The sequence below is a fragment of the Homo sapiens genome, chromosome 4 (genome assembly GCF_000001405.40).
Source record: "Homo sapiens chromosome 4, GRCh38.p14 Primary Assembly".
Taxonomy (NCBI): Eukaryota; Metazoa; Chordata; class Mammalia; order Primates; family Hominidae; genus Homo; species Homo sapiens.
Window position 1 is genome coordinate 151,245,630 of NC_000004.12, and position 13,458 is coordinate 151,259,087.

General features: G+C 42.8%; 1 protein-coding gene and 1 long non-coding RNA gene across 5 annotated transcripts in view; both read right to left on the minus strand.

Annotated features, from left to right (window-relative positions):
• SH3D19 (SH3 domain containing 19) overlaps positions 1 to 13,458 on the minus strand; it is a 205,325-nt gene that overhangs the window by 125,349 nt on the left and 66,518 nt on the right. The window lies entirely within an intron of this gene.
• The window catches only part of LOC124900799 (uncharacterized), a 28,348-nt gene continuing 16,071 nt past the window's right edge, over positions 1,182 to 13,458 (minus strand). The window contains exon 2 of the long non-coding RNA XR_007058328.1: positions 1,182 to 10,739. This is a non-coding gene — a long non-coding RNA (uncharacterized LOC124900799). The remainder of the gene's footprint in view (positions 10,740 to 13,458) is intronic.

Sequence of the window (13,458 nt, forward strand, 5' to 3'; positions counted from 1 at the left end):
TCTCACTCTGTCACCAGGCGGGTGTGCAGTGGCGCAGTCCTGGCTCACTGCAACCTCCGCCTCCCAGGTTCAAGTGATTCTCCTGCCCCAGCCTCCTGAGTAGCTGGGATTACAGGCACGCGCCACCATGCCTAGCTAATTTTTATATTTTTAGTAGAGACGAGGTTTCACCATATTGGCCAGGCTGTCTCGAACTCCTTGACCTCAAGTGACTGCCTGCCTTGGCCTCCCAAAGTGCTGGGATTTACAGGCATGAGCCACCACTCCCGGCCTGGGTTTATGAGTCTTTTACTGGGACTTGACCCATTCTCATTTCCCAAAGAGTTTAAAGATTGGGATGAAGTTAACTGGAGCAGGAAAAATAAGTAAGATTGGAAAGATATATGACTTTATAACCCCATTGAAGACATACAAAAAAAAAAAAAAAGGCTGAAATATAAAGTATTTCCCTGGTGGCATTTGTTCTGGTATCTTATTTTTTAATTTATGTTTTCAGGAAAAATTCTCCATCAGATTAAATAGCTAAAGTTACAAAAGGCAAATACTCACATAAAATTTGAATCTGAAAAGGAAAACCTAATTCCTGGTATATATATAGATGGGTACTGACAACATTTCTATTTCTCTGAGTTTCACGGATTTCAGGGTAACATCTGAATTAAGGTTGTGTATCTATCCTTTCAACATCTGAATCATCTAACATAGAATGATCAAATTCTGTTTCTGGCTTATCAAATTACCTAGCATTTTCCTTGCAATGATGATGTTCAAAGCTGGTACAAATAGTGCAGGATAGAGCCATTCTTAGCTACCATTGGTAGGAGTGGGTATGATCTTTCTGGAGAGTAATTTGGGCCTTTAAAAAGTTTATGACCTTTTCTCCAACATTCAGCTTCTAAAAAGCTATCTCCAGGAAATAGAAAGGTGAGATAAATTTCCAGATAAAGATATTTATGGCACTGTTCTTTACAATAGCAAATCTAAATTTTGCCATTAATAATTTTTAAAATATACTATACAGTTATGATCATATTCGACATTGTCAGGTACTTACCTAACTGCTTAACTCACTTGACCTTCTCAAGAGCCCTATGAAGTATGTTCTCTTACCCAGAATTCCCATTTATTGATGAGAAAAGAAAGAAGTGAAAAATGAACACTGAATATCTCATGCCTTATAATGGATGGGTTCATTGTTTTATTTATTCTGCTTATCATAAGTAAAGAAGTAATGACATTGCTGCTACAAATAATTCCTTTTCGGCCCCATAGAACCTGCAGTTAATACTGAATGGCACAAGATTTACATAGGATTGATCCATGTTTAAACTTGCCCAAGGTCATGGAGCTAGGAAGTGACGGTGCTGGGGTTCCAAACCAGCAGTCCAGCTCCAGAGCTGAAACTCTTTAGCATTACACCATATTGCTGTTTTGTGTATTACTTTTCTTATTTTTCTTTTGTGTATTATTTTTCAAATGTGATCCTGAATTCTATAAAATGATAAAATTTTTATAATTTTTCTCTCAGATTTTTGTTTCAATATTCACATGCAAAATTGGTCCCTGGTCTTCTTTTAGGAGAAATATATTTTCTGTGTTTCAATATCAATGTTATTTCACCTTCATAAAAAGGAACGAACTGGAAGCCTTCCTTCATTTTCTATGTTCTAGAACAGTTAAAATAGCATTAGAATAATCTGTTTCTTAAAAGTTTGGTAGAATTTCTTTGCAAACTCTGAAGGAGAGGGAAAGGAGGGTAGCTCTATGACAACTTCTTTGTTTCATCAATAATAACTGTTCTTTCAGATTTTCTAAGAGTTCTGGAGTCAGATACAGTCATATATTTTCTATTTCTTTTAAAAAATTAAACAGATTCTTACATATAATTTATATTCCATAAAATTTACCTGCTTGAAATGTACAATTGGATAATTTTTAGTAAATTTACAGAGTTGTGCAATCATCACAATGAGATCATTTTAGAACATTCCCATCACTCTAGAAAGATCGCTTGTGCCCACTTGCAGTCAATCCCTGCTGCCATCACCAGCTCCTCCATTTTAATAGTTCAGCTCTATAACTTTAATGTATATAAACAGACATGTTTATTTTATGTGGATTAAATAAGATAGCGGAGATAAATCTTGGATGTATTGTATATAATGTGACTATACTATATAAAAAATATTTAACTTTAAGAATTGAATGTGGTACTCTGCACAAATAGTATAATTTTCTTATAGCTCATTAAAGCTACCTGGTACTTATGGAAAAAACAAACAGTATGACTGTTTTCATCTTCCTATGATCAGCGCTGAGACTTCCATAAACACATATTCCTTACAGCCCCATTGGCAGCAAGCAATAGGAAGCTAATATCAAAATATGATCACAATAACCACCCTGCCTACAGATGACATTGCTGTTATTCTTTACTTCATGTTGACCAGATTTTCAAACTGTAAGGTATTTTTTAATGTTTTACTTTTTTTTTTTTGTTTGTTTGTTTTTGTTTTTAGAGATGGGATCTTGCTATGTTGCCCAGACTAGTCTTGAATTCCTGGCCTTAAGCAACCCTCCTGCCTCAACCTCCTGAGAAGCTGGGATTACAGGTGTAAGTCACCGTGCCCAGCTTTATTTTCTTAATTTCTTCTATTTTTCCTAATGAGAGTTTAGGAAAAGTCTAGCTATTTCTGAAATGAACAAAGTGTTTTACCCACAGTGTTCAGAATTTAGTGCTTAGAATTAAGCACAGCTGATTAGAACACCAGCCAATATATTTTTAGTTTGCATTGAATAGAGATTTCTCTAATTAGGAAGCATTAGTGTTATTTGATTTCTGATTCTTGCTTCAAAGTTCTCTCCATAACACAGCGAACTTTAAGTATAAGATTAAACTTAATTTAACAAGAAAATATTTTTACATGTTCAAACATGAATAATCCAGTCAGTAGCATTTTTAGATCTAAGAGTATTGGAAAAATTGCTCTCAGCATTGAGAAATTCTTCCACTGATAAAGGTCAACAGAAAGCAAACTCTTGGAGAAGTGGAAGGCGCATGGACTTTGAAGCCATACACATGGGTTCAAATTTCAGGTCCAACAACCACTAGATAGGTGTCCAATATATTCTTCCTCTTACCTCTTTCTTTCCCTCCTCCCTGCCTGGCACCCCCTTGTAAACAAAACAAAACAAAACAAAATGCAAACAACGCACTTCAATGGAAACATACTCCCAAGATTTCCTTAGAGTGAATTTATACTGATTAATTTTTTTTTAAATTCAGGAACTAAAGTAACTAAGTTAAGTTTTTCTCTTGTCAACTCAATATCCTTGTTGGCCATCTGTTACTTTTCTTCTTCTACTCAAAGACATAAAGTGAGCCTCAAAAACATTTAAGTGCATATTGCAAGATTGTTTTGAGATTTAAACAGATGTGTACTTACATGAATGCCCAACTATAAAACACTCAAGGGTATGTAATTATTGTGCTGACAAGTATAAATTCACAATAAAGGTATTCAAAACACACATATACTCATACACGTATTCAGAGTCTGTCCATACACTTCATGTTAGGTATATATTGATTGTATCTGTAAAAGTCACAATATTTAAAAATATTTTCTTAGTTCAATAAAAGATTTATAATTGGCTCTTCTAGTTTCATACTTAAGACTTGTTTTCAAATGTTTCTGTGAAAGAAGTATTAGAAAGTTATCAAGTGATCAGTAAGAAATGTGACTTTTAATTGGATGGAGATCATAAATAAAATATTCTGTATAGAATTAGCACGAGCAAATGAAAAATGCTATTAACTCTAAATCTGTACTATTATGTATTAAACATATACTATTACAGGTCCCTCTTTCCAAAATAGGTCAAAGTTTAAAGATCCCAAAAACCTGAATATTGACATAAAACTTCTTTCCAACTTAATCACCACAAACTCAGAATTAAACTCATATGAAATCTGAAACCAGTATCTCATAAGGGTTTAGCACAAAATTTGCAATTTTTGTAAACTTCGTGTAAAAAAAAAAGATTTAGAAACAACATTTTCAGGAACAAAGGAACAGAAATCAGATCTGACCTTTTTAATGCTTTGATGACTTTCATTACTCTCTCTTTCTTCCCCTGATCACTTTCCTCTTTCAGCAATTAGTTAAGGCCAGATCTATTCAAGTAAAGTCTTAAATTAAATTTTGGAGAAATATTAATATTCAATCCTCTACGTAAAAAAGAATAAAATATATTCCTATTTTCTAATTCCTGAATTTCAGTTATTCTTCCCAAATTAGTGCCGTATGCTTGAGTTAAAATATTTTCTCCTGATGGTCCCATCAAACTGGCCAAAATGTAGGGACTGGGGGAAGAGATAATCAGTGTGAATGAGCACATGGGAAAAGGGATGTTCTCCATCACTGTGAATTGGTGCCATCTCTTTGGAGGATAATGTGGCAATAGAGGTCAAATTTTTAAATGCAGATTGTCTTTTCTTTAATACTTCCACATCAAACAATTGCACAAGTACTCAAAAAGAGGGGTAAAGAATATATATACTGAAGCATAATTTATAACAGCAAAAAATAAAGAAAATCTAAGTGTCCATCAACACAGGCATGATTTTAATGTTAGGTTACTTCTGTATGTGGAATGTTATGCAGCTATTTTAAAGAACAGTAATCAGGTCGGTACATAGTGGCATGGAAGGACTTTGAAAAAAGTTAAGTTGCATGTAGAATGATATATAGAATATTCTCATGTTTTCCTGTGATGAAAATATATACATATTTATATATATGTGTGTGTATATATATTATATACAGACATGTGTATATGGACCCCACACAAATATATATGGATATACAGCAAGACAAGAAAGAGAGAGAGAGAGAGATCTGGAATGATGCTCACAAACAACCCATCAGGTGCTAGAAGTGGAGACAATAAGGAAGAAAACTTTCTATTTTACCTTATACATTTCTCTGGTGTTGAAATTTTTTTAGTAATTGTAAAGAAAAAACCCAACCATATATTATGCCCAGCAGGCACCAGAAGAAGAGGAGTCAAACCTATTAATATTTTAATAACAGCTATTAATTCTCAGATTTCTTTCCATCAGTCTGCTGGAGATAAAGAGCATTCTGCTTTGGTTGTCAGTACACAATTCCTAACACAAAGTCTCCCAGCATGCTTTTGTGAACCAAATGGAAACCTGCGGCCCAAAAAGGAGCACAGTTTGGCTGGATACGTCGTTAGCTGAGGATCAGTCAACAAAGACTGTTGGCCGATGGATCCATTCCAGTCTCAAGTTTCACGGGCTCTGGCAGGGAGGGAGGGCACAGACCCCAGAATACTCCTGAGAAGCCCTCACCTATCCCTCCTCCATTCACTGCCTTTTCATCATAATCTGCCTTTAGGATTAAATGATTTTTCACCAGACCTTAGGCACTACTTCCATGGTCTTCCTGACCTTGTTATAACCAATACCTGCACCCTTTCCAGAATCTCATTTTTAAGCATCCCACCTTGCCAACCCATTTGTTCTTTCTTTTTCTTTTTTTCCTTTTTTTTTTTTTTTCCTGAGACGGAGTCTTGCTCTATCACCCAGGCTGGAGTACAATGGTGTGATCTTGGCTCACTGCAACCTCTGCCTCCAGGGTTCAAGGGATTCTCCTGCCTCAGCCTCCCAAATAGCTGGGATTACAGGCGCATACCACCATGCCCAGCTAATTTTTGTATTTTTAGTAGAGGCAGGGGTTTCACCATGTTGGTCAGGCTGGTCTCGAACTCCTGATCACAAGCAATCCACCAGCCTTGGACTCCCAAAGTGCTGGGATTACAGGTGTGAGCCACTGCACATGGCCCATTTGTTCTTTCTTGAACTCCTTACAGCAAGAAGGCCAATTCCAATAATTTTCTACTCCATCAGGATTTATAATCTACTGACTTTATCTCGCTTTACTCTCTACACCCCCTTCATTGCTTACTTTCCTCCTTTCCAGCTTAAGTTAGTGATTTCTCATTATAATCACTCCCCTGTCCACCCTTCTTCATACCTTCCTCTGAAAACCTCACCCTGCTTGCAGCCAACTCTCTGCTCTCTCCATGCCTCTACCCATGTTGCTGAGCAGCACTGGTGAACACACAACTATGCCAATTTCACTTAATTCAAGTGGATCCTTTCAGCTGCCCCGCAGTCACACTATTATTTTCTTAGTTCATTCATCTCCCTCACTGCTACATGACTAGCACACTTCTCCATAAGTCCTCAATACCTCCATTCCCATCCTCTTTCTCAATGGATAATTTCTATGCTTCACTGAGGAAACAGAAACAATAAGCAGAGGAATTCCACCACCACACCTGCTGCCAAGTGGCATCTGTGCCCATTGCCTTTGTTCCTGTGTAGGAAAATCCGTCTGTGTTCCAATCTAAGCATTCTCACCTTCCAATTGGTGAGCTGGGATCTGTCCCCTGCTCAAGGACACCATTGCAGCACTATTTGCTTTCTCTTCTGTGTCATCAATTTCCTCCTCTTTGCTGGATAATTCCATTAGCACACAAACAGGATGTAATTTCTCTCATCTTAAAACAACAAGAACAAAAGACTGTGCCACCCAGCCTCTTCTGCCAGCTGTTTCTCTGTTCCCTTTACAGCAAAACTACTTTTTCTATCTCAAAGTACTCCCCTTTTATTCTCTCTTGAGCCTGTTCCATGATGCTAAATCTGATGGTCAGTTCTCAGCCATTTGCAGCATTTGGCAGCCTATCACTTTCCTCCTTGATACACTTTCTCTTCTCAGCTTCCAGGATACTACTCTCAGTTCTCAGCCTACCTCACCACTATCCTCTCAGTCTCTTATTGGTTCTTATTCATCTCATGAAACTTAGGTGGGCTCAATCCTTAGCATTCACAGTGGGCTTTATTTATACTCACTCCATAGGGGACCTAATCTCATCTCATGGCTTTAAATACTATGACATGCTGATGACACCCTAATCTAGCCCTAGTTTGGGCCAAGTCTCCAAATTCCAGATTTATATATTCAACTGCCTACTGGACATCTCCAGCTAGACATCGATCAAGCATCTTAAACTTATGCCTACAAATGAACTCTTCATCTACCCTCCAGAAACCTTCTCCTCCTACACTGTGCCCCATTTCAGTAAACAGTACTTCCACTCTTCCAATGGCTCAGGCCAAATGGAGTCATCCTTGGCTCCTGTCTTCTTCTCACAACCACATCCAATCTATCAGCAAGTCCTGTGTGTTCTACCTTCACAATGCAACTGGAATCTGCCACTTCTTACCACTTCTCTATATCCCTGGTCCAAATCCACCATCACCTCCTGCCCAGTTCACTGCAATAGTTTTCTGCCTGGTTTCCCTGCTTTTATCCCTGACCATTATCAATCTACTTGCCAGTTTGATTCATTTAAAATTTAAGTCAGATCAACTATCTTCCCATACTACTAAGAATAAAAACCGAAGTCCTCACAATAGCCTGCAAGAGCCTACATCATTTGGCCTCCAATCCCTGTGTGACCTTATTTCTCACCGCTGGAGCCCCTCACTCTGCTCTGGCCATAGTGTTTCCTAAACGTTCCAAGCACACCCCTGCCTCAGGGACTTTGTACTGCTGTTCTCCATGCTTCAACCCCTCTTCCCTCAGTTATCCACCTGGCTCATTTCCTCTCTTACCTCTCAGGTCTCTGCTCAGAAATCACCTCAGTGATGCCTTGTCTGACCACCCTATTTAAAAGTTATGCCCCACTCCAGCATCCCTAAGTATCTAAGCCTGTTATTAAACAAAGCACTTGTTGGCCGGGCACAGTGGCTCACGCCTGTAATCCCAGCACTTCGGGAGGCCTAGGCGGGCGGATCACGAGGTCAGGAGATTGAGACCACCCTGGCTAACACAGTGAAACCCTGTCTCTAACTAAAAATACAAAAAATTAGCTGGGTGTGGTGGCAGGTGCCTGTAGTCTCAGCTACTCAGGAGGCTGACGCAGGAGAATGGTGTGAACCGGGGAAGCGGAGCTTGCAGTAAGCCGAAATCGCACCACTGCACTCCAGCCTGGGCGACAGAGCGAGACTCCGTCTCAAAAAAAAAAAAAAACAAGAAAACAACAACAACAACAACAACAAAAAAGCACTTGTCATGTTCTGACTTACAACTACAATACAACCTCTACGAGGACAGAGGCTTTTTCTATGTTTTCATACCTCTATTCTAGAAAACGGTCCCTGGCGTGGGTATTGAATAAATGATTGCTGGACAAACAAATGAGGTTTCCTGGACTTGGGAGGCTGCTGTAGCAAGATAACTAGATGATGACTTAGAAGATCTGGGTTTGAGTATGATTACAGACAAGAAAATAGAAGTGACGCCCAGCTTTGTTATTGCACAGTATAATTAGTTAAGCCATTTAACCTCCAAGGGCCTCAGTTTCCTCATCTATAAAGGGAATGAAAACATGCGTTACCCTCTGTGTGAATGAAAATGTCAGGCAAATGTAAAACACTATCAGGCTTCTGTAACTGATCACATATGTTAAACTATTTAGAATTACTTTAAAATTTTTAGACAATAGTTTATGCTTAGAAGATTTAGTCACTTTGTAAACCAAAAGGATACCTTGAATTATTATTTTTTTTATTTTTATTTATTTATTTATTTATTTTTTAAATTTATTTATTTTTTATTGATAATTCTTGGGTGTTTCTCACAGAGGGGGATTTGGCAGGGTCATAGGACAATAGTGGAGGGAAGGTCAGCAGATAAACAAGTGAACAAAGGTCTCTGGTTTTCCTAGGCAGAGGACCCTGTGGCCTTCCGCAGTGTTTGTGTCCCTGGGTACTTGAGATTAGGGAGTGGTGATGACTCTTAAGGAGCATGCTGCCTTCAAGCATCTGTTTAACAAAGCACATCTTGCACCGCCCTTAATCCATTTAACCCTGAGTGGACACAGCACATGTTTCAGAGAGCACAGGGTTGGGGGTAAGGTCACAGATCAACAGGATCCCAAGGCAGAAGAAGTTTTCTTAGTACAGAACAAAATGAAAAGTCTCCCATGTCTACTTCTTTCTACACAGACACGGCAACCATCCGATTTCTCAATCTTTTCCCCACCTTTCCCGCCTTTCTATTCCACAAAGCCGCCATTGTCATCCTGGCCCGTTCTCAATGAGCTGTTGGGCACACCTCCCAGACGGGGTGGTGGCCGGGCAGAGGGCTCCTCACTTCCCAGTAGGGGCGGCCGGGCAGAGGCGCCCCTCACCTCCCGGGAGGGGCGGCTGGCCAGGCGGGGGGCTGACGCCCCCACCTCCCTCCCGGATGGGGCGGCTGGCTGGGCAGAGGGGCTCCTCACTTCCCAGTAGGGGCGGCCGGGCAGAGGCGCCCCTCACCTCCCGGACGGGGCGGCTGGCCGGGCGGGGGGCTGACCCCCACCTCCCTCCCGGATGGGGCGGCTGGCCTGGCGGGGGGCTGACCCCCCCCACCTCCCTCCCAGACGGGGTGGCTGCCGGGCGGAGACGCTCCTCACTTCCCAGATGGGGTGGCTGCCGGGCGGAGAGGCTCCTCACTTCTCAGACGGGGCGGCTGCCGGGCGGAGGGGCTCCTCACTTCTCAGACGGGGCGGTTGCCGGGCAGAGGGTCTCCTCACTTCTCAGACGGGGCGGCCGGGCAGAGATGCTCCTCACCTCCCAGACAGGGTCGCGGCCGGGCAGAGGTGCTCCTCACATCCCAGACGGGGCAGCGGGGCAGAGGCACTCCCCACATCTCAGAGGATGGGCGGCCGGGCAGAGACGCTCCTCACTTCCTAGATGTGATGGCGGCCGGGAAGAGGTGCTTCTCACTTCCTAGGTGAGATGGCGGCCGGGCGGAGACGCTCCTCACTTTCCAGACTGGGCAGCCAGGCAGAGGGGCTCCTCACATCCCAGACGATGGGCGGCCAGGCAGAGACGCTCCTCACTTCCCAGACGGGGTGGCGGCCGGGCAGAGGCTGCAATCTCGGCACTTTGGGAGGCCAAGGCAGGCGGCTGGGAGGTGGAGGTTGTAGCCAGCCGAGATCACGCCACTGCACTCCAGCCTGGGCACCATTGAGCACTGAGTGAACGAGACTCCGTCTGCAATCCAGGCACCTCGGGAGGCCGAGGCTGGCGGATCACTTGCGGTTAGGGGCTGGAGACCGGCCTGGCCAACACAGCGAAACACCGTCTCCACCAAAACCAGTCAGGCGTGGCGGTGCGAGCCTGCAATCGCAGGCATTCGGCAGGCTGTCAGGAGAATCAGGCAGGGAGGTTGCAGTGAGCTGAGATGGCAGCAGTACAGTCCAGCTTTGGCTCAGCATGAGAGGGAGACCGTGGAAAGAGAGGGGGAGAGGGAGAGGGAGAGGGAGAGGGAGAGGGAGAGCCTTGAATTATAATAAAGATTTTAAACTGTCTTTCTCCCTCTAGAGTTTGTAATTGTCTATATATAAATTGTATACTTTAATATCATATCAACTTCTGGGCATTATGGCCAATATTATTTTTGTTTTCTGTCCTGAGGCCTTATCCATTCTCTTCTAAATAGGGGGATATGAGACTTGTCATCTTGAGATCTTTGATACTTTTGGCTCTGGAACTATCCTTCCCACAGGTGCAGAAATACAAGTCAGATTCCTGTTTATGTAAAATGTCGAGAAAGTCCAAAGGCCATTGAGAGAACATGGGCCTTGCCAAAGCACAGCTGGAAGCAGAAGTATTTGAAAGAGGAAAGAGACATCTTCTATTAGGTTCCACTTTTGTTTCAAGTTACATAACAATAAATATAAATACTTCAATTAAATTAGTTTCACTCTTCACAGAAATGCCTTAATCATGATTCAAAATGATGGTGTTCGCATTCATTGAGAGACAATATAAAAAATGAGGAATGTTTCTCAGTCCCCTATAGAACTGCATATTATGTTAACCAATGTGCTTTTTACAATGGGGAAAAATTTTCTCCTGACTAAAGAGTATTGTTCTTATTATCTGATGATATAAGGTGTATGGTACACTTTTGTTTTGTTGTTTTTTTTTTTTTTTGGCTTGGCCTCTAGAAAGCTTCAAGTTAATTATTATTATTATTATTTTGATAGAGAGTCTTGCTCTATTGCCCAGGCTGGAGTGTAGTGGTGCTGATCTCAGCTCACTGCAACCTCTACCTCCTGGGTTCAAGCGATTCTCCTGCCTCAGCCTCCCAAGTAGCTGGGATTACAGGCATGTGCCACCATCCCTGGCTAATTTTTGTTTTCTTAGTAGAGACAGGGTTTTTGCCATTTTGGCTAGGTTGGTCTCGAATTCGTGGCTTCAAGTGATCTGCCTGCCTCAGCCTTGGGTTGAGATTACAGGCATGAGTCACAGAGCCTTCCTGGCCTAATCTAGTTAATTTCTTTTCTTCTTATTTATTTATTTATTTGTTTGTTTGTTTATTTATTTTTTGAGATGAAGTCTTGCTCTGTTTTCCAGGCTGGAGTACAATGGCATGATCTTGGCTCACTGCAACCTCTACCTCCCGGGTTCAAGCAGTTCTCCTGCCTCAGCCTCCCAAGTAGCTGGGACTACAGGCACGTGTCACCATGCCCGGCTAATTTTTGTATTTTTAGTAGAGACGGGGTTTCACTATGTTGGCCAGGCTAGTCTCGAACTCCTGACCTCAGGTGATCCACCCGCCTTAGCCTCCCAAAGTTCTGGGATTACAGGAGTGAGTCACCATGCCCAGGAGATAACTCAATTGTAATAATTATAATAATCCCAGCCTTGATTTTTGGAAGTATAATCTTCCCCAGTTTTTTCTATGGCCCTTCTAACTCTGTTCATTTTTACTGTACACATGATGCCCTCCTGTGCCAGGCACTGGGCCTGGAATATTAAAGGGTCTCAACAACTATTTCTTCTTCTTCTTCATCATCATTATTATGTTATTAATCATCATCATCATCATCATCATGCTATTAAAAATAGTAACCGTGGCTGGGTGCGGTGGCTCAAGGCTGTAATCCTAATGCTTTGGGAGCCTGGGGAGGGAGGATTGCTTGAGTCCTGGAGTTTGAGAACAGCCTGGGCAACATATCACGACCCTATCTCTACAAAAAATTAGCCAGGTGTGGTGGCGCATGCCTGTAGTCCCAGCTACTCCAGAGACTGAGGAGGGAGGATCGCTTGAGCCTGGGAGGTCTAGGCTGCAGTATGCTACGATCATGCCACTGTACTTCTAGCCTAGGTAAGAGAGTGAGAGTCTGTCTAAAAATAAAAAAAGCAACCAACAAAGCCAGTCCTTGGGAGAGCCAGGAATGAGGCTGAATAGTCTGTGCCACACATACAAATGCTCTGTCAATAGTCCCATGTCACAGTCCCTTGTTTAGTTTCCATAGTCCCTTGTCCCCCTTTTCAAATGAACAGGATATAAATTATAAGTAAAAACCTCCTGAGTTACTTCCTTATTCCACCTCTCTCCCACTAGATGTAAACTCCTTGAAGGCAGGCAGTTCCCTATAGATCCTGTTCCACATTTAACACAATATCCTTAACACAACGCAGACCTAATACATATTTGCTACCTAAGGAAGGCTAAGAGCAGGTAATGATTGAGGCACAAAGGGAAAGAGAGAAAACACTGGTCAGAAAACTGACTGGTTTATTTCCCCTTTATTTTCTCCTGTCAGTCCTGTCAGAACCATTCTAGAGGCCAAGGACCTAGGGTGGCCAGTCTGCACAGCCATTTGAGATCCCAAATCAGGGATCTGCCCTCCATTGGTTCACCTTTGGTCAGGGGAGAATTAAATGGGCACACCAGGGCAGGTCCCTGAGATGTGGCAGTTTAGGCAGAGGGAAGTGTGTGAACTTAGACTTGTTCAACACCAGGGTCACTAAGCACTGAGCGAGCCCTGCTCCTTCCAATGCCCACCTCCAACCTTCCCTTTTTCTTACCTCCCATCACCCACCCTCAGGCTGAATCCCAGACACCCTGCTCTCCCAGGACAGCAGGGGACGCCGCAGACCCCCCAATTCCTCCCTTGGGTCCTGGAGCTGCACTTCTGAAGTCTGGTCCCTTCAGGATCTGGCAGGGGGTGAAGACCAAAGGAGAGGAGGGGGTGAAGCAGAGGAGTCCATCTAGGAGGAGATGGTTCTGCTCCCCCTTCTCTGGGTGTTCCCCACTGGCCTCTCCCTGGGATCCTGAGTCCAGGGGCAGGGAGTGCTGGCCCTCAGGACAGAGACACGGGCACTGCTGGCTATGCATTCACGCTGCTCCTTCTGCTGGGGATTTCGGGTGAGCCCCCAGAATGGGGTAAGCCCTAGGTAGGGACAGGGGCTTCAGACTAGGAAAGGCTGCACAGGGCATGGGTGAGGACCCTCTGTAGCAGCAAGAATCCATCAAGAGTGCCTCCCATATTCCCCATTCTCCCACTAGGAGGTCTAGGCTG